At 40.9% G+C, this 22,340-nt stretch overlaps 1 protein-coding gene across 1 annotated transcript in view; it reads right to left on the bottom strand.

Moving 5' to 3' along the window:
• The window catches only part of GABRG3 (gamma-aminobutyric acid type A receptor subunit gamma3), a 570,804-nt gene continuing 550,636 nt past the window's right edge, over positions 2,173 to 22,340 (bottom strand). The window contains exons 8-10 of the mRNA NM_033223.5: positions 16,528 to 16,724; positions 16,165 to 16,224; positions 2,173 to 11,557 (exon numbers count right to left, since the gene is read on the bottom strand). Of these exons, the coding sequence (NP_150092.2) occupies positions 11,276 to 11,557; positions 16,165 to 16,224; positions 16,528 to 16,724 (539 nt within the window). The 3' untranslated portion in view covers positions 2,173 to 11,275. The remainder of the gene's footprint in view (positions 11,558 to 16,164; positions 16,225 to 16,527; positions 16,725 to 22,340) is intronic.

Raw genomic sequence — 22,340 nt, 5'->3', positions numbered from 1 at the left:
GGGTACAGTTTCAGTTCCAACCTGGCAATGAGTACAGTCAGGCCCTTGGCATGATTTGCAGTCTCCACTGCTCTACTTCTGTGCAAGAGATCACCCCATCCCTCACTTACAAATCAAGCAGCCCAGCCAGAGAGTCTTCTGTGTGTGACTTTTCCTTGAAAGGAGCTTGCTGATTTCTGTGGGTCCTGAACAAACACAGCTGACCTCATTGTGCCATTTGTGCACATTTGTAAGATACCACTTTGAAAGTGATATCCTCTGGCTGGGCGTGGTGGCTCACGCCTGTAATCCCAGCACTTTGGGAGGCAGAGGCGGGCGGATCACGAGGTCAGGAGATCGAGACCATCCTGGCTAACATGGTGAAACCCCGTCTCTACTAAAGATACAAAAAATTAGCCGGGTGTGGTGGTGGGCATCTGTAGTCCCAGCTACTCCGGAGGCTGAGGCAGGAGAATGGCGTAAACCCGGGAGGCGGAGCTTGCAGTGAGCCGAGATTGCGTCATTGCACTCCAGCCTGGGCGACAGAGCGAGACACCGTTTCAAAAAAAAAAAAGAAAAAAAGAAAAAGAAAGAAAGTGATATCTTCCCCCCCACCAAAAAAGTGGGTTTAAATTAACTAAAAAGTGAATGTCTGCCCTATTAATTTTCTCCGAAGTTCACTCCACAGTCCCAAGGTTTTGGAGACATGCACTGGCAGAGTGTAGCAGCTCGAGGTGTTTGAAGTTACATTTCCAGAGTTTCAGTTCTTTTTCTGCTTTTTTCTAGGTTTAGAATATTGGGCAAGTCTCCATTTTCTCATCAATAAAATTGTGGTAAGACGAATACCCTCTTTATATGGTACTCTCAGGACTGAATGATTCAGTGTGTGCCAAGTTCTTAGCACGAGCTCAGCCCTCAATAAGCATCAGCTGTTGTTTTAATGTACCTCTGGAGGGGCCTGCAGCTTTGGTCACAAAGCAGGGCGAAGGTGGCAGTTCTAGCAAGGGAGGGAATGAATGCACATAAAATGTTCACTGTTGTTCAAGCCTAGATTACAGCAATCCAAGAAGGAATTGCTGCGAGCGCCAAAACAGATACTTCCCAGGGGCCGGATGTCAGAAAACCCTCTTTTAGGGCTGAGGGTTCCCACAGAATCAGCCAGAGGCTGCAAAAAATGTCTCATAGTCCCCCCACCCCCACCCCCTTGTGTAAGTGCAGCCCCCATCCGGGAGGGGTGATTGTGTTGAAGTCATGGGTGAGCTAGGGGACCTGGAATTGTTTGTTTTTATTAAAATGTGTTTCGGCCGGGTGCGGTGGTTCACGCCTGTAATCCCAGCACTTTGGGAGGCTGGGGCTGGTGGATCACGAGGTCAGGAGTTCAAGAGCAGCCTGGCCAAGATGGTGAAACCCCGTCTCTACTAAAAATACAAAAATTAGCTGGGCGTGGTGGCGGGCGCCTGTAATCCCAGCTACTCGTGAGGCTGAGGCAGAGAATTGCTTGAACCCGGGAGGCGGAGGGTACAGTGAGCCGAGATCGGGCCATTGCACTCCAGCCTGGGCGACAAAGGGAGACTCCATCTAAAAAAAAAAAAGAAAGAAAGAAAAAAAAAATAGACCAAAGAACAGTACCTAAAATCCTCTAATGTGTGTTGTCTGCGGTGGTCGCGGTCACCGTCGGTTTTCCGTTTGTCTGTGATGGTGTGCCCTAACTTTAACATGAGCCTGCGGCATCTTCTCCAGGAGCCACTGTTAGGACTTTAGGGTGTCCAGCCTGGCTTCCAGATGTGTTGAGGGCGGGTCCCAGAACCCTTCCCCCCACGATTTAATCCACTCCCCAGCTGCAGGTGTGGCCTGGAGGCGGGCACCTGCCACCTGGCTTGGCTGGAGCAGAGTGTCCGGCTCTCCAAGGGTGGCTTGGGGGTCTCTGTTCATGGAGTTTTGCAAGAGTGGAGGAGGACGTTTCCCTTAGAAAAGCCACTTGTACCCTTCCTGCCAGAGAAAAGTCACTCCCCGAACCCCATTTGCAGAGTCTGCCCCTGGGCTGGGCTCCCCAGAAGTAAGCATCTGAGAGGGGCAGTTGGGTCACACCCCTGCGGGCATCAGGGCTCCGTGCAACACAGTGCCCTTGACCCCATCCCGCACGCTCCCAGTCGGCCACCCAAACCAGAAAGACGTCCACTTCCAGCTCAGGTATTTCTGACAACATGTGCATTTATTTGTATTAGAAGTACAAACGTAGGAATCCAAATACAAATACAGAGGGCGGCCCAGCCACGAGGCCCAGCTGAGGGCACGGCGGGGACGGGACGCACGAAGCGGGGCGCGGCGCCGCCCGTGTCGCCAAGGCACGTCGGGCGCCAGTGCGCCCTCATTTCACTAGGACACCACGAGCCGCACGGATAGCGGGGAGCCACGTCCTCTGCGCAGGGGAGGAGGGCGGCGGGACCTCGGGACCGCCCGGAGCCAGGGCCTCCAATCCCTCGCGGGACGACAGGGACACAGGGGCTACTGGAGGCCACTTGGTGAGGGCGGGTCCCTGCTGGGGCAGGAGGCGCACGCACTGGGGCAGGGCGCGGCCCCCTCGGGGCCAAGCGCATCCACACCGGTGCTCTAAGATGATTCCAAAATGTTTTCGGATTCTGGAATCTCCCGGCCTACCTCCCATCTGGAGGACAATGGCTTCACAGGCAGGAAGGATTCCATGGGAACAGAGAGCAGTCCGCGCCTCTCTCCTTCCCTTCCTGCCTGGGCCATCTCCCAGGACCCCTGACAGTTTCACCTCCCACACAGGCTTCACAGAGAGAGGACCCTGCCCACACCCCGGCTGCTTCAAGCCTGACCTGACGCCTTCCTGTGACCTGCGAATACGACTTCCTAGACAAGGGTGGGGATGGCTGTTTGCCATCTAAATCTTGAAAAGTACTTTTGGCTTATCGGGTCAACTTGACCAGAATGCACGAATGATCAAGGAGTCGCCCAGGTGTGCACCCCGGTCACAACAGTGATGCTCAAGGGCTCTCCAAAGGAGGCAGGCTTGTGTGGACCCCAGAGGGACTCCTGATCAGGTAGTGAAGCTGGATTTCTTTTCCTTTTCTTGGAAAGAACATGATCCCACTTTGTCAGGAAATGTACAGATTGCCACTTTCTCTCTCTCCCTCTGTCCTCTCTTTCTCCCTCTCCCTTGCTCCTTTTTATCCTAACCAGAGGCTTAGTGCTAATACGCTATCGCTAGAAAACTGCGCTCCTTTCTACTTGTTTCAGCTAAATTTGGGGTGATGGGTAGAGTGACACACATTATTAATAAGTTGTTTCAGTTTTACCACTGTACGTACAGACACAAATACACAGACCACTGCATGTAAACACAAGATGGCCTCTTGCTCCTAACAACACATAGGTCTGATCCCTGAAAATAATTACTCTCCCAAAACTTTCACAGAAAATTTCACTCCTAAACAACGAACCTTTTGCTCAGTACCGGAGCTGCACGTAAAGGAAAACACATTGTGTAGTTGTACAAACGTGTGAGCAGGTAAACTTGGTTCACTAGCACAAAATTAGACATATCAAATGTCAAGAATGATGGACAGTGTCTTTTAGACTGTTTTAATAAAATAGTTATTCTAAACAGAGATCATATAATAGTAAGCACTGTACATTTCATGAATATATTTTGCCTGTGACTATTTCTATTCAAAGTAAAAATGCCAGGATAAGTTAGGGGGAAACAAAGCCTAGACTCAAATTAGATGATAAGAAGCACAGTGATTGTCTTTTTGAGCTCACAAAATTTGCAGTTTCCAAAGATGCATGTATTTTAGTGAAAAAAGATAGTTGTTAGACAATTCAAACGTTATCTTTACGAAAAGGAATAAAATAGCCAACTAAGGTAAAAACGGAAAAAAAAAGAGAGAAAGCAATCAACAAACAACAATTGAATGGAATGTTCTTCTAAATAGTAATTTGAAATTCTGATTGAGGCAGGGCAGGCAGGACTGCTGGGGAACACAGCAGTTCTGGAAATGTTTTAGGCGAGCAAAATTTTGGAGTAGGATCTGTATACTTAATGTTTAAACTCTAATGAAACTTTTTCGCTTTTTCCACGATGTAAGTTCTGATTTCGTTATAGTTCAGAAAAGGCTCTAAGCCTTTGTGTTGAATCAATAGCTGAGTACTAGTAGAAACATGGAAGAGGACAATGAGGGTGATGATGGTTATGATGTAGATGTACTTCATCTAAAAACCTTTCATATTTGGTGACAATTTAGAACTTGAGGGAGCAAGTTATGTGCATCTTTTGCCACATTACTTATTTTTTAATTACATTGGAAGGAGTCTTTAATTGCTTAAGAATGCAACATTTTTTCTTTTTTTCCTCTCTGTAGCTCCCAAGGCCACCCTGGAGGTGCATGGACTAGCGGATGTGGCAGGCTGGCTCAGGGTGGTCTGGGTCTGCCAAGCTACGTAGAGGAGTGGGTACCCTGATCTCCCCATGAGAGTGACAGAAGTGCTGCTCTGTGCAGTGGGGGGTCTTCACTCATGGATGAAATTGACATTGAAAATCCTTCCTGTTACAAATATAAACAATATTTTATAAAAACCTGTTGTAAGAAAGCCTAACCAAATCAAAGCAGTCATCATTTGCTCCTGAAAATTGGAAGCTGACAGTGGGTTAGGACTACTTAAGGTGTTTCCAATAATCTTTTATAAATTGAAAGTCAAGCACTATCCTTTCGAATAGACCTCCTTAGATTAGAGAAGCAGCTTAGAGTTCCAAGGAAGTGCTGTGGGTGGGCACAGGCACATGTTCCCACACGTGTGCTAATGAATCCAGTTGTAAAACTCCAATCCACCCAAAAGGAAAATCATGTCAGCCTGTGCACGGTCATGCCCTTGCCAGGAGCGATTCCACCTGCCCTTCCAGAGGCTTCAGACTTCCGGGTGAAAATTCAGCCCATCTCAGGTGGAAAGGGGATGCTGGCACCTTCCCACTGCCTTGCCGTAATGAACTTCCCACTTACTGGCATCAGTCCTGATTATCACCATGTCCCTAAAATGACAACTTAGCTCCAGGGTCCACAGGTTCCTTTCCCAAAGGAGATTTGGGAGTCTATTTTACACATTGCTATGTATTGGAAAAACGTTTAACAAAAAATGGGAATTTCAGTTCTTTTTTAAAAAGTGGTTAGTGACAATGTTGTCATTTTGAGAAGACTGACATCTTGGGGACTGCAATAATTGTGCTGTGGGCTCGCTCATGTATCCTTAGATACCTAAGAAACACATATTTAAGAAAATACAAATTGGATGTGTTGGGTACATACACATCATTCACTGGGATCGAACTTCAGTAAGTGAGGCAACTGGGAGAAATCGGAGTCTAAGCCCCTCACAGGAAGTGTAAATGTTCCTTTCTCATGAAAATCAAAGAAGGAACCCTGAATAACTAGAAAAGAGAAGAGAAAATGTAGCAGCTACCTGCTCAGTCTGGGGCATTTAATTATTGGCAATCAATGTTCTTTCCAACCTGTTCAATTTAAACTGTTCGGCAGACATAGAGGCTCTGGCTTCCCTGCAGGAACCATTATCATCCTCACATTGTGTAGCCTGCTCACTGGGCTGGAAAAACCCTGTGTGTGTTTACAAATGTGAAAAGTGAAGTGGCGAAAGTAGGTGATTATCTCAATTGTTCAAGCAAAGCAATTTACGTTCACCTCAATAACCTGAATGCTACATTCAAATCATGTCTGTTTTGGAAGTGGTGTGTGTGTGAGAACATATGTTTTGTCTGCCTAATTATTTTCTAGCTCATGCTCTTGAATAACCTAATCTGAAAAGCCCACTTGGTTAACTCAAAACATTGAAAACTTGTCAGTGACTGATTGTTCAACTAGTTTTTCAGCACTGATTTATTTAAGTTCGCCTAAAATTTGGCTTTTATAAGTAAGCAGGACAATAAAAGGTATAAGGGGTTTTATTGACAACAGTAAAACCCAAAGCATTATTCAGCTAGGTGGCATTAAAAAAGTAAATACAGGTTGGGCGCGGTGGCTCACGCCTGTAATCCCAGTACTTTGGGAGGCCAAGGCGGGTGGATCACCTGAAGGTCAGGAGTTCGAGACCAGCCTGGCCAACATGGTGAAAGCCCATCTCTACTAAAAATATAAAAAATTAGCCAGACATGGTGGTGGGTGCCTGTAATCCCAGCTACTCGGGAAGCTGAGGCAAGAGAATTGCTTGAACCCGGGAGGTGGAGGTTGCAGTGAGCCGAGATGGCGCCACTGCACTCCAGCCTGGGCAACAAGAGTAAAACTTCATCTCAAAATAAATAAATAAATAAATAAATAAATAAATAAATAAATAATAAAAATAAATATAAAGAAAGTCTGCCTTTTGGCCTTAATACAACTAGATCAAGCTGATATCCTGAAATTGCTAGCTTGTAATCAGTAGAAATTTTAAAAGGAGGAAAGAAAATGCCCTAATATCTAGTCTTCAAAACTATTAGACATTAAGAAAAAGAAAGCCAAGTTTTTAATTCTTCCAGAAATACTGAATGGCTGAGTTCTTACCAAATCATCTCAAAACATACACGTTTTATCCCTATAATGATAGAGATCTATTTTTATAATAAAACATAAGTCAACAAGGGATCAGCGATGCAGGTGTCATTTATCCTGAAGAGTTATTTGTTGGTTCTTTCATGTGATTACACAGAGAACACAAACATAGAGGCACTGCTAAACTCTCTGAACCTGAATGTTTCCTCCAGGCCAATTTGAGAAAAAAAATAGGTACAGATTACACACTTTCTCAATTTTGGGAAATTGGAAGGGGGCTCAGGAGAATATTGTAAATTTAACATTTCCAATGTATTCGTAGTCTGGTTCTTTCCCCCGTATTTCCGGAACCTTTCTGAATATCTGTTAAATGATAGTGTTCTAAAGTCTAAGGTGGACAGTGTTTCAGTACAAATAGAACTTAACGTTTCAATGTATATTTACATCAGATTATGTGGAGCTTAAGCCATTCTTTTTTTTTTTTTTTTTTTTTACAGAAATTGCAGATGAAATTTCTTACGGGTAGAGTTTAAAATCGCTCAGGAAAAGCACTCAAAAAGAGTTGCAAGATCATGGAGTGAATTCCAAGTGCTTTGTGCCTTGAGAGCACTGAACCGATACGGTGATAAGAATAATGGTTGGAGACCAGGTGTAATTCTTCAAGTCTCAAAGGAAATCACAGAAAATTTCCATTTTGGCAGCTGAGATAAAAATGATCAAGGAAGAAGAGGTTTTGTCTGTTTTGTGTTCTAGCCCTTTAGATAGAGTGGCTCATTGCTTCCTAGTCATAGGGAGCTGGAGTCAATGCAGAATGGGTTACCGGCCCCTCTCCTGTTGCTTCGAGTGTGGTTATATTGCAGAACAACGAAGCAACATGCCTGCAAACTTACTGCAGCAAGCTATCACCAGGTAAAATGATTTGGTGCGGAGTTTCTATTAGAGACACTCATCCCCATCAGGACTGTGTTGCTGACATTTTAGATTGGCCCCAATTTCCCTTATGTAGAGTGAAAATGCTTTGCTCTTGAGAACACGCATTTTCTCAGTCAAAGAGCCTGCAAAATCTTTGTACTTAATTGGTTTGATGTAAAATTAAGGGTAAGACTGTTTGGCATATAAAGAAATGAAATCCTATTTCCATCCATTCATAAAAGATAAATAAAACTTGGCATGAAATATAGCTAACTGCAGGAAATGGAAAATCTTAAAAGATGTGTATTATTTGAGCTTTCTGTTTCATTTTAAGGCATGTTTTGGGTAAATTGGGGGCAGTATTGGCTGGGTCCAGAGTAAATTATACTAACTTTGTCCTTCTCTGTCTGGTATGTAGGGAGTCTCTGTTCTGGTAGGTGGTGTTGGGACTTTGCAGAAGCTGAAGCTTTCTAGGCTCTGAAGAGACATTTTTCTCCAATTCCATTAATGTGAAATGCCTTTTCTTTGCTTTCCCCCCACCCAGTATGCAGCTTAAAAGACAGACAGTCACAGTTTTAAGTGTGATCCACAGTGGTCAGAAATTTGGATTCCATGTCAAAATACAGAACTGTCATCTCCTCAACTTAGAGTATTTCTGAAAGTGAGGAACACAGTAGCACCTTTGGAATGCAGATCACTCAGACAACTTCCACCCCAAATATTTCCCAATTCTGCATGCAAAGCAAGCTGGGGCTTAGCTGTGTGGAACAGCCTTGCACCTCGTGCCCACACACGTCCCTCCTGATCAGGCATCCTGGCAAAGAGAGTCTTTAGTGAAAGAAAGCGTACTTCCTTCCCACTCTCCCCACACTGCTCCTCTCCTTCCTCTAGAAAGTAAACATGTACATGATTAAAAATCCCCTGAGCTCTGCACCTCACCAAGGCACACCCATCTCTTCCTCATTGTGGACTGAAAAGGCTCATCTCAGGAGTTGAGACTGATATGGAGAACTTGAATTATGCAAGCCTGCGGAGAACCCGGCATGGACATGCTCTTAGGGGGTGCTTTAGCTCTTTTTATTGAGACCCCCTAGTGGGGAGCCTGCTGTATATGCAGGAATCCACACTATGATGCTCAGTTAGTGAAATCCATTGGACTTTCTTGAGATGAAGGTTCTCCTTCCTAGAAAAGGAGCGCTGAACTCATCTGTTTTGATCAGGAGGGCTGCTGAGGTTGGGAAGAAGAGAATGGCTGGATTCAGAAAACTGAGGTTATTGGTGTATTTATCCTACATGTAAAATTTCAGGAGGGTTGCTAACAATATCCAAATGTTGAGTGGTTTTGAAACACAAGGCATCAGTAAAATTCTTTTAAGGTAAAATCAAACAAATCCATGTTATAAAAAGTTGTTTTAGGTTATTTTCCTCCCAATAAGAATTTTTCTAGAAAATTCAGTTCTCTCCAGAACTTCGTTTACAATGTAGCAGGTTGCAGTTCTTCAGCTTGTTAGAAATTACCCATTCATAACGTTTGACATTGTGTCTTAAGACTGCCCTTGGGCCACCTTCCCTTGGCGCTCAGTGCTGTGGTGTGACTTGGATTCCTTTGGTCAGGGTCCTTGCAGAATACTTCTGCCAAGGCGGGGGTTGCTTATGCATGAGAGACAGAACTAGAGTACCAGAGTGTGAAATTCTCCAATAGAGGAGACATTGCATCTAAGACAATATTTTCAACCTGTTTCTCCACAAATACTCTTTTATTTTTAAAACTGAATTTGCTAAACTGAAGCCAATTGGCTTGTGGATTATGTAGCAACTACCAAACCAAAAGACAGAGAGTTGACAGGGAGAGAAACAATGGGTTTGAATGTCTCACGCTGTATAGACTCCATCTTTGGAAATTCAGACATATCTATATCTTTGCATCCGTTTAATATGCAACAATCTTAATAGGAATAAGCAGATGAATCTAATTTCACTTTTTCTGGCCTCTTCTGCTCCCATCCTCTTCTGTGTCTGGTATACATCCAGGACATTGTGTGAAATTGATACTTTTCTATACTTTCTCTGCAAAATATTTTACGTTTCTGGGTAATTATGGTATGCACAATAGATAATTTTAAAAATTACGGTTTCTAGGTCAAATTAATTCAGTTTTCTATGTGAGAAAGATGAGAAGCACAGAGATTCTGGTTTCAAATTTTAACAATGCCAAAGCATTATTAACTAACTGGTAGGACTTGTGTTTTGCCTATTGGTGAGGAGAAGTTTCAAAACAGTCTTCTGCAGTTCACATTGGCATCCAGTTATAACAAAGAACTAACAGCAAGCAGCAAGTTGGTTTTGTATTATAAAAATATCAAAAGAGTATTGATTTGGGGGGATATTTTTTCTTTGGGATTTTGCTATGTATCCATATTTCAAAGTATAAAATAATCTTGTTCATCAAAATATGTACTTGATGATCACCATTGCCCATTTTTTTGCATCTAAAGTTGGTTTGAGTTGAAAATTAATATTCACTAATTTTTTTTTTTTAATTTTGGCCGGGCATGGTGGCTCATGCCTGTAATCCTAGCACTTTGGGAGGCTGAGGCGGGCAGATCACCTGAGGTCAGGAGTTCGAGACCAGCCAGGCCAACATGGTGAAACCCCGTCTCTACTAAAAAAACCCAAAAAACAAAAAACAAAAATACAAAAATTAGCCGGGTGTGGTAGCGCACACCTGTAGTCCCAGCCACTTGGGAAACTGAGGCAGGAAAATCGCTTGAACATGGGAGGCAGAGGTTGCAGTGAGCTAAGATTGTGCCACTGCACTCCAGCCTGGCCAGGTGACAGAGCATGACTCTGTCTCAAAAAAATAAAATAAAAATAAAATTTTATCTACATGTCTTTCACATTCCGGTGTATGTCTTCAAGATAACAGGTTGTGTTCACTGTATACCTTTCTTTGCAAAATGACAATTACCGAACCCATAATAATATAACATAAGCTGGACACATACTCGAGGGTTGAGCGTTGGTCTAGTGAAAAACAGCTCTTAAGGTGAAATGCTGTTGAACTAGTCCAAGAACCCAAAGTTCAAATATTGTTGACTCTCAGTAAGTTGGAATAAAGTAATAACCTTCTGATGTTCAGAGATAATCATCTTTGACCCCAACAACATGAGCATTTTGAAAATCTTATTTTCTCCTCCAATGGAAACCGTAGACAATGCGAGTGTACTCTCCCCAGGCCTAGAACGAGGTTATTAGGTAAAGGAGTGCCAGCTAACGATGATGGTGCTGGAGCCAGAGAGGCCACAGAGAAAGGAGACTGGGGTTGGAACCCACTGCTGTTCACACTGGAGCACACACATGCCCAGGCTGAGCCAGCAGGAGTGGGTCTCGGCCAGGGGTGATTCAACACTCCTGAGTGCTACTACACCCAGGGCTGCAAAGGAAAGATACAGAAGGACTAGAGGCCTGAGAGAGCATCTCAGACATTCACGTGCACATTTTACAGATTTCTTTGCAAGGGTAATCAGCGGCTGCTTCCAATATCCAAAAACCATTCAGAAACAACACCAAGCTACAATTCAGTAGGGATTAGCAAGAATATTACTTTAAAACTCAATTAGCTGTGTGTGTGTATGTATGTGTGTGTGTAAAATACATAATAGAAACCTTTGCTGGGTACTTCCTGTGTTGCTGAAAGGTCATTTATAACAAGATACACTGGGCAGTGTCCTTCCTTGCTACTCCCGATTGGTCACTACTGGTCTGGGGACGACAGAAGGTCAAGTGTGTACCAAATGCTCTTCACTCTTCACTCTGAGCAACACTTAGAGATACAGGTATCCAACCCAGTAGACCAGGTTAAAGAGCAGGAAGGACGTGGGGAAAAAGACCCGGGAGTACGAGTCCAGCTCCAAGATGTCTATGTGAATACGCCCTTTCCTCCAGGATCCTGATTTACATTCTTCATAGCAGCAGAAGAAGCTCTGACAGTCTTTGCCATCCAGACACTCATAGACACAGGTATCTTCAAATTCCTGCCAGTAAACGGAATTGTTTAAAGTGATCATCGCAGTTGGTGGTGGCCTCATGTCCAGGAGGGAATAGTTCTGCAAGCAACAAAAATGACACAACAACCATTGTAAAATGCAATAAAAACACCCTGAGGTGTATGAAGCAGTAGGTCCATATTACATCTGTCTCCTATAGATAAAGAGGATGCGTGGGTGTGCCCTTCCCCCCATGCTGGAGAGAGTTGGTCTTTTTTTTTTTTTTTTTTTTGGTTTTAAGGAGCAGAGAGTTTAATAGGCAAGAAGGAAGGAAGAAGAGAAGAAAGAAGGAAGAAAGGAGGAAGCTTCCCTGTATAGAGGCAGAGGGAGGGGGACTCCAAAGCTGAGAGAGGAGACCCCTGGTCTTTTCAATCCTTGCAATTCTAATGCAAGGAAAATTGCATTGCAGTTTCAAATCTTGTATTTCCCGGATTATTAATGAAGAAGGTTAAGCATATTTTCAAATGTGTATTAGTCATTTGAAGTCCCTATTCTGCCTACTTTTCTGTGGTTTTGTAGTAAGTATGGACATATATTTATCCCTTAAATGTGAAACAGTATGTATATTGAAGTGGGGAGAGACAAATATGTTACTTTTTTCTAATTAGTGAAGAGTAAAAGCTATGACTTGCAGGAATGATGAGAGGATCCTCATGTCCCATGTGATTCTGGTGACAGTGAGCTTTCAGTGTGAGGTGGCTGGACACCGCTTACCATCTCAAGAAGCATAACCAAAAATGTGCCCACCTACAATGCTTGCTTTTCTACCTCCCAAGCCCTCCTCCTGCAGTGGAAAAGTCCAAGTGGGGCAGATAAAGGAGAGAGAACAACATACTATTCACTCCTAAATGAGAAGAATCATTCCTAACCCTGAGACATGGCTGCAAATAGACTTGTCAATTCTTCAGACAGAGGCTGAGCTCTTCTAAAAAACTATGAAGTGTGCACTACATTGAATTCTGTTAAGGGGATACGTTTCTAAATTGGACTGAATAATGGAAGGGAACTAAAAAGCATGTTTGCCTTTCTGCTTTGGTTTCATCTGTGCTGGTTGATCTGAGATGGGATGCCAATGGCAGCCATGGAGGGTGACACCAAGGAGGAGGTGGAGAGGGAACCCTTCTCAGTGGGCTTCCTGGCAAGGGCCTTTGCCTGGGTGTGGCACACTGCTGGGACAGAGGCCATTCAGAATTCATTAGAAAGCATCGTAACAACCTCTTATACTTTCATCCAAAAATACGATTCCAAGAAGACATGGCACTGCTTTCCCTCCTACTTTTGGGCCTCAATTTGATTGGACATGCTCATAGTCATGGGGTCATAAATCGGGGAGGGGTGGAAGTGTTGATCAGGCACTCAGATTCAGGACTTGCAGCCTTTGGTGCGTTCTTGTAAATGCGAAGCATCTGTGTGTGAGGACAGACCTAAATTAGCAGGATGGCCTGGACCACATGTTCACAGGGTGTTGCTTGCTCCTCACACGTGTGGCCATCTCCCTCTGCTACCATTGGGGCCTCACGGTGCGGCTGCCCACCCTCCTCCTCCTCCACAATCCTGATGAGTAGGCAGAAATAAAAGTCCCGCTGTGTCTATGGGCCTAATGTGGACACATCTCTTCTAGGTTAATGTTCTTTGTCCCGAGTGGGTGTAAACATCGCCAAGCATTTGCTAAAACATAGCAGTTCCCTTCCTCTACCCCACTGCATTGAAGGGATCTGCCTCCTTTTGACAACCTCCGGTTGAAAGATCTGCCTTTATTAACAAACAATTGCAATAAAGGTTTCCTACACGTGTGCTTTGACAGTGATCAGCCAGACATTCATCCACTCGTTGCTTCATGCCTCTGTGTAGTCCCTTGCTATGTGGATGGAACTGGGAGCTACCGGAGACACAGAGGAGAAGTCTGGCCATTTGCAAGGTAAGGCAGCCACACAGGAAGATTCTGACTTAGACGGGGAGGCAGAAGGCTCTGCTGATGCGGGGATGGCTCACCAGAGATCTAAAGGGCAACCCTTGGAGGCCACAGGCAGGGCAGCAGGATGGCTTCTGGAGCAAGAGAAACCTCCATTTCACTTCATTTAGGGAGCCAAAAAACACCTGGATATCATATTTACAATATTGAAAATAGCTCTTATTATGTCTTCATAGTTCACTGCTTCGAAATGAAACAAATTCCATTTTATAAGACTGAAGCAAAACGTAAGATGTTAAGAGCCCTAAACAGCTTAAGAACTTCTTTACTTGCCTCCTTTTCATTTGTCATGAAAATTTCAAACTGTACCCAAGATAGAGATTTTAATTAACGATTCCCAAAGTCCTCTTTGGCCCAGCTGGGTCCCTGACTCCCTCCTCTTTTGTGTGTGTGTATAGCGCAGCCCCGTGAGTGTCCCAGAGCACCGTGCTTCCTGGGCACATGTGAAGTTCCTCAGCCTTGCATTTGACATGTTAGGAAAGGGGCACAGAGCAATTGGAACAGCTTGCCCCAGGCCACACATGTGACAGTTCACGGAGTCTGGCCCCTGTCCCTCATTACTCAGAGGCTGCCAATTTCTGCTTCTTTCTATTGGTAACGGTGGCTCCTTCACTAGCATAAGGCTGCAGACCGGAGGACAGACTTCCTTTTTCTTTGGCTTAGCATTATTCTTGCTACAGGTCTCTCTGGTTGTGTCTTCTCACCAGGCCTGGCACCCTTTCTGTCTGTGAATTATTTTTCTTTGTACTTCCTTTAAGGTCATTAAACTTTCCCACTTTCTCTTTTTTTTTTTTTTTTAATTTTCTGCTCATTTTGTGATAATATCTTTTTCTGTCTGTGTTAAAGGATTTTTTTTCTTCTTTTGGCAGCATCATTTCTGTACTAAAGAGGTCAATGTTTCTCTCCTTCTTTCAACACCCAGGTGCTGGCTATGTGTGATGATGTGCACCCTTCCCCTCTCCCCTCTGTTTTGGTCCCACGCCACTTGGAAGCATTTGTTGGCAAAATCTGTTATGTTCTCTGTAGCTCCCCGCAGCTGTAACAGTGATTTGCCCACTAACGTTCTGGAAGAACTATCACGATCCACACTTGCAGAGTGCAGATAACTATGTAGTCTCCTGACAATGGGCTGGAAGTGCGCTGCATATGAGGTCCCGATTAACAAGTAGCAAACCACCTGGCACTGCATATGAGGTCCTGATTAGCAAGTAGGAAACCACCTGCGGCTTATGGGGGGGCTTGAAACATTCGATTTAATTAGTAAATTGTAATTAGTATACATATGTATAAAGGAATAAAAGTCATTATTGTAAATAAAAGTTGTTATATGATAAAAGTTGTTCACATCATTAATTTAAAAATATGTTTCTCGATTTTTCAGTAAAGCTACACTCTACCCTCTAGCCAAAAGAAATTCGGACTTGTTAATAGTTAAATGTAACAAATTTGTTTTTAAATTGTCAAACCTTGGTCAATATTTATAGGGCTTAATTTATCCACACTTTAATTTCCTCATTTGTAGAAAGGTTTGTTGTGAGAATAAAGTGAGTTGATACATGAAAACACAGAGAACATAATGTCAAGCATAGTGCTCAAAAGAAAGTGAGGGTGGTCATGTCATTTTGAGGGTAGGAAGGACCTTCCAAAGCAGAACACAAGAAGCAGAAACTACAAAAGAAAACACTAACAGATTTGACCACATGAAACAAAATAATACACATAGAGAAAGGCACAAAATAGGATAGTGGCAATGTTGCCAATTCAAGTTGGAATAAAAACCACATGACAAACATTAATATCATGAATATATCCTATATGTGACTATATAAATTATATATTTTATAAAATACAATTTATATAATATGTAACATATACACCACTGTCAGATTGCTACCTTAAAATACTAATGAAAGTTAAAAAATATTTAAAAGCAATTCCCAAAAATGGAAATGCAAATCAAAAATAAACGAGTGACAATATTGTCAATAGTCAAAGAAATGCCAATGGGAAAAGTTTGCAGAGCTCATTTTCCTGCGTGACTACCAAACTGAATGCAGGGAAAGTTCGGGATGAGGTGTCTGGCATTGCTGATGGAGCTGGTGGAGTGCTATTTGGCAAAGACCATGCAACGCCTCTGCCCAAACATTCTGCTCCTAGGAATTTATAACCAAATAAATAGTCACAGGTATATACAAATTGGTAGTGAAAAGAATGTAAATGCAAGTGAAAAATGTGGATAAGCCCAGTGTCCTGCCAAGATTGCTTGTGCATCAATCATGAGCATATGATATGGTCATTAAAATGATCCTATAAAATAATATTTGTGGCACAAAACTTAAGTACATATAAGTACATATTTTTGAGTTATAAAAGAGGCTATAAAACAATATAAAGATCATAATTCAGTTTTGCTAAAATGCATGAACCTATATTATTTGAATGGCTAAAAGAGTCAGAACTATATATGCCATACACTAATCCCCATGTAGAAGGATTATGATTACTTTTCTCCTCTAATTTCCAAATTGTCAAAGTTGGATTTTTAACCTAATACTAAACACATTTTTGAAGTCAGCATGTGCATCACTCATTGGTCTTCAATACATGCATGCATCAACAGCAATCTATCTTTCAAATGCAATCTTAGTTTAGTGAAAGTTCTCAGAAATATTGGCACCTGCAATGCTATACGTACGGAAGGGGCTTGTAGGCTTATTCGCTCAGGAATCCATCTTGAGGAATCTGGATGTAGTAACTACAAGAAAAGAAGAAAAAATAACTAGGAAACTGTCATGAACATTTGCATCCAAGATCACTCTTAAGAGCAATCTTTAGGGTATGACTAAACCAAGCCACGTCACCGGTAGGTGACACCAGAGATGTCTTAGAGTCACATTCACATCTTCAGAATCCCTGTCTGGTTTTGAAAAGTCTTGTTGAACTGGGTATTTGTATCATGCTTTGTACGATCCTTAGGAATACAACTGCATTTAAGTACACACTCATCTCAAACAGCGCCCCCATTACCTCCCGGAGAACCTTTGCTACTGCAGCTCACCGATGTTGTCTTCTTCGTGGTGGTTGGTTTTCTACAGCTGGAATAGTAGTTGAGGGTGGCATACTCCATCAGCGCGGCGAAGACAAACAGGAAGCACACGGTCACAAAAAGGTCCATGGCGGTCACGTAGGACACGCGTGGCAAGGACTTCCTGGCGATGGTGCTCAGGGTGGTCATGGTCAGCACCGTGGTGATGCCTGAACAGGGGACGGGTAGCATGTTGTAAAAGGGTGCAACACGCAACAGGAATCCCAGACGGTCACCCACATCCCTCCACCCCAGCACGGCTGCCTTACAGGAATCCCTGATGCTGCATACCTCATGTAATGTTACTTTGAATTTTAATGTCCATACAATTTTATAAGCAATGTTTCAATGAAATTTCTTATTATAGTCTTCACAATAACATTAAAGTGCCTGAATCAAATCAACACCTTTCAATTCATTCAGTAATTCGCTCATTGTTGGTAATTTTTAACGTAGACGCTCTTTTTGGCAGTCCTATATGTTCCGTGCTGTTCCACACCTCACATTTCTGCCCAGCTAAATCCTTTTATTTCTGACTTCTCCTCACCTCCCCAGTTTGAAAACCCTCACTATTCTTGAAGACCCGGCTCCAGCACCACTCTTGCCTTCCACGCAGAGCTGACAACATGCACATCTGCAGTATCCCTGTACCTTCTACTATCTCAGCTTTTTTTGTTTTCATTATCACAGGGAATCGCATATGTCTTTACATACCTGTCTCCTAGATAGATTGTGTGGTCTTTAAGACAAAAACAGTCCCTTACTTGTCTTTGTTTGCTTGTCCCCCAGCACAGACGCTAGCACATTTGAGGCATTTAAATGAATGATTTGCATCGAATGAATCAATTAATTGGTAATACTCAATGTTGGTTTGACTTAGACTATTTTATATGCATGGGTCAACACTGGATGTTTAAGCAAATATTGTGGAAAACATTCAGAAAAGAGACACAGACACACACGAGATGGATAGCTTAGAAGGGAAAACATGAAAAAAGACATGGAGACTATTGAACATAAGAATAAAATGAAGAAGAGTGATTATCATGTGAAACAGGCTAAGACTGACTCTCCCGAGTCTTCCCAAGAAATCAGGACCTGTCAGGACTACTAGACAGGGAAGGTTAGTGACCCCAGATTCATGGGCCCCAGAATCACAGGAATCTGAATTTTAACAGTCACCACCTCTGTAGCTCAATGGGACTACAGTAAAATATCTGCATCGCAGTACTAGTCAGAGAGTAGGTACACAGGACAGATGAGGACACATTACTTTCCACCTTTGCTGCAGCATCACGGCCTCTGTTTAATTCCTCCCTGCATCTACTCAAGGCAGTTCTGCCAGGGCCAGGTGGAGAATGGGTCTCAAAGCATGGGGTGGACAGCTTGTAGAGGTGTAAAGAGTATCACCTGAAAATCCAAGCCCTCCACCTTGCTCTGGGCCTTCTCAGCATTTGGCCATGAGGAGTCACTTACCATCTTTGAATCAGTTTCCTTAACTTGTGCAGTGAAAATAGAATGCCAGGCACTCTTTAATATAGGTGGTAAAATTTCATGTAAAAACGCTATGTAAACTGGAAAAGTCTATACTTATGTCAGATGTAGTTTTATGGAAAAAGCTCTTTAGAAAAAAATTATTTTATTTACTTTTTTAAGTTCTATGGAACATGTGCAGAATGTACATGTTTATTACATAAACATGTGCCATGGTGGTTTGCTGCACCTATCAACCCATCACCTAGGTATTAAGCCCAGCATGCATTAGCTCTTTTCCCTAATGTTCTCCCCCAGGGAATACTATGCAGCCAAAAAAAGAATGAGATCATGTCCTTTGCAGGGACATGGATGAAGCTGGAAGCCATTATCCTCTTTTAATAAACATCCAATTCAGCTTTTAAAAATGTGACCACATCATGTCTAAGAAGAAGTTCAAAATCTTAGCTTCTATTTCAATAGAAATACAAACTGTTTGTGTCTGTAATTTCCATAGACCTTGTCCATCAGTTGTCATGAGTGGCCTGTATTCCAGATGTAGGCAATGGCCGTGTGCTTTATCCTCCCCACTTCCACCCCCACCCTGAAACTTCACCCTGCTGAAGAAAAATAAACCTTAGGCATTTCTATTTAGTTCAGGGATCTAAGCTACCTAGTAAAGAAGAGTGCTCTGCAAAAACACCTGTTGGCATGACTTCCTCTTTGGGGAAAGCACAAAGGACTTCAGGAAGGTTATCTCAGCTGAGTCTAGTACATATAGGATGCTTTGGGGATGATTCTGGTCTCACAGAATCCTAGAACAACTTTCTTCTTGACTTTGGAGGGATGAGTGAATATAAATCCTGGCATCTTACTGCAGTCAGAAGTAAACCTCCTAATTTAAACACAAACTAAAATAACACATTTTGATATTGGCTTTGTTTTTTTTTCATTCAGCACAATGCCCTTGACACATTTAAACTGCTGCTTCATCGATAGTTTGTTCTTTCCTACTGCTGAGTAGTATTTCATGGTTTGGGTGTTCCATAGTTTCGTTAGCCTTTCACTTGTTGCGGGATATTTTGGTTCTTTCCAGTTCCTGGTGATTACATGAACATTCATGTCAGTGTAATAATGTCATCCTATTTCAAGTGACTTTCTTGGAGACACATTGTAGTTGGATCATGCTTTATTTTTTTAATCCTCTCTGCTAATTTCTGCTTTTTTACTGGTACGTTCCAGCAATTTACATTGAATGTAGTTATTAATATTTAAGATGTAACTATCCCATTTTATATTGTGTTTCCTGTTTGTTTGTTCCTTTATAATATATTGTTTTCTTTTTCCTGCCTTCCCATGGGTTATCTCAACATATTTTAGAACTTGATTTTGCTTTACCTACAGTGTTTTTGAGGCGTGTCACTCTTTGTAGCCTTTTTAGTGGTTCCTCCAGTATTATAAATACATAATTTAGCATATTTAACATTTTACCAATGTGACTGAAATGTAGAAACTTTATTTCCCCTTACTCTTCCTTGATTTTAATATAATTGTCTTAAATATTTCCTTTAATTAGTTTAGTAATTACATCAAGTAGCATTATGATTTTTTGCTTCAACCATTATAAGTAATTTAGAAAACTCAAAAGGCAAAGGAAAGTCCATTTTACTTGCCCATATTTTCACTTTTTGTATTTTTTCTTTATTTCTTTTGTTAAAAATTTCTTCTCATCATTTTCTATTTCAAGAAATTCCATTAGCCATCATTTTAGGGGACATCTGCTAGTGACAAATTCTCTTTGTTCTTCTTTGTCCGAGAATGGATTTCTCCTTTATTCTTAAATGATACTCTCATTGGGTATAGAATTCTGGGTTGACTATTATTTCCATTCAGCATTAAAAAATGCTGTGCTACTTCCTCCTTGCCTCCATGGTTTGGATGAGAAATCCATTGTCATTCAATTTGTTTTTTCTATATAGGCAAGGTGACATTTCTTTGCTACTCTTAATAATTTTTCTTCAGTTTTTAAGAGTTTGATTATGATGTGTCTTTACCTAACATTCTTTGGATTTAACCTATTTGGGATTAATTCAGCTTCTTGGATCTCTAGATTTATGCCTTTTGGCAAATTTGAGTATTTTTTATCCATTGTTTCTTTGAATATTTTTTTTAGCCCCATTCTATTTCTCTTTTTCTGGAACTCCAGTGACACAAATGTTGGATCATTTCCCTCTCCAATATTTGTGTCAACATTTGAAGATATCCCTAAACTCAGTTGATTATTATTTTTTTCAATATATTCCCTCTCTGTTGCTCAGATTGGTAAATTTTTGTTGTTCTATCTCATGGTTCACTGATTCTTTCCTCTGTCTTATCTTCTTTTGTTAAGCACATCCAGTGAGTTTTTCATTTTGGCATTGTATTTTTCAGTTCTAAAAATTTCATTGAGTTCTTCTTTATATCCTCTATTTCTTTGTGGAGCTTTTCTATTTTTTCATTTAGTTGAAGCATGTGTGCATTCGCTCATTGAAGCACATTTATGACTGATTATTTTAAAATCCTAGTCAGATAATTCTAACAACTGTGTCATCTTGATTTTGGCATTTTCTTTTTGATATGATGAGTGATATTTTATTGTATCCTGGACATTTCTGGTATAATTTTATCAGACTAAAATATTATATAGAAAATCTTTAAAGTAGTCATATTTACAACATATTTAGAACAAAAATATTAATATAAAGACTAATAAATTAAATTAAAATTTCTGCATATCAAATGCATAAAAAGAGGAGAAAGATGCTATTCATTGTAAAAATGTATTTATTTTATATAAATACAAAACCACAAATCTTCATGATGTTTCTTTTTATCTAATAACATGAAATATCTATTCAAGTGTGTTTTCATGTCAGAAATGTTTTAAAGTTTTCCTCACCTAAGATTCACTTTCTGGTCTGAGAAATCTTTATCTAATCTAATATAATCCTAACATTTTTCTAGAAATTTAACATTTCTAGTTTTACCATTTGAGTATAATCCATTTTAAGTAATTTTTTGTGTATGGCAGGAGGTGGATATTGAAATTCACTTTCATGATGTAATTATTAGGTGCAGAGTTCTGTAATATCCAATAGCTCAAGGACATTGATATTGGTGTTCAGATCCTCCATTCCTTTACTGGCTTTTTGGTTGTTGACTGGTTTAATCACTTAAATAAGTGGACAAATGTGCTTGTTTGTGTACACTGCTGATAGAAGTATATTTAAATATCAAACTGTGATTGATTTTAAAAATTTATCCTCTTCTCAGTTTTTGTTGCTTTTAATATGAAGCTCTAATACTAGGCACAGGCACATTTATGAATGTTTTGTCTTTCTGTTGAATTTACCCTTTTATTATTATTATATGCTCCTATTTATTTCTACATTGAATTCTTAGCTATGCTTTTTACTATATTTTCATACATTTTTAACAGATTACAATAAGATTTCTTAATATATCTACTTAGAATTTTTTTAGAATTACTTCACCCATTTTTATACCACATAGGAACATAGTTCCATATGTCCCCCAACCTCATTGCTATTTATGGCTTACATTTTATTTTTTCTGATGTCATAAGTCCCATCTTGCAATATTATTATTTTCACTTTAATTGAAAGAATAAAAATAGAAAACTAGTTTTTTTTAAACTTCACCGCACACTTACCATTTCTGATGTTTTTCATTACTTCTTGTAAATCCATTTTTCTATTGATTATTTCTATTAACCTAATTAGCTTGCTTTAGAATTTTCACTATGGTTTTAGATTTTCTGTGATAAATTAGCACAGATTTTGTTTATCTAAAAAAATCTTCATTCTGATGAAATTTTTGAAGTATATTTTCTCTGGATATAGAATTTCAGTACTTTAAAGATGGCAACTGACTATCTTCTGGTCTCCATTATTGCACATGAAGAATCAGTCAGTCATATTTTTGCTCATCCACATGACAGGACATTTTTATTTATCTACTTTCAAGTATTCTCTTTATTTTTGATTGTCATCATTTGGACTATGATGGTTTTCTTCGTATTTATCTTACTTGTATCTCACTAAGCTATTTGAATTTGTAGGCTGATGTTTTTCACCAAACATTGGAATTTCTTAACCACTTGTTTTCAAAAATATTTGTCCTCATTCTTTTTCTCTTCTTATTCTGCTTTTAACTATCACCTCAGTTATAGTCAGTTATAGTTATGTTATGCATATTCATATTGTATCACAGGTCACTGGGACTTCTTTCTTTTTAATCTTTTATTCCTTTGA

Source organism: Homo sapiens, chromosome 15 (genome assembly GCF_000001405.40).
Source record: "Homo sapiens chromosome 15, GRCh38.p14 Primary Assembly".
NCBI lineage: Eukaryota > Metazoa > Chordata > Mammalia > Primates > Hominidae > Homo > Homo sapiens.
This window is presented reverse-complemented; position numbering and strand designations above follow the sequence as displayed.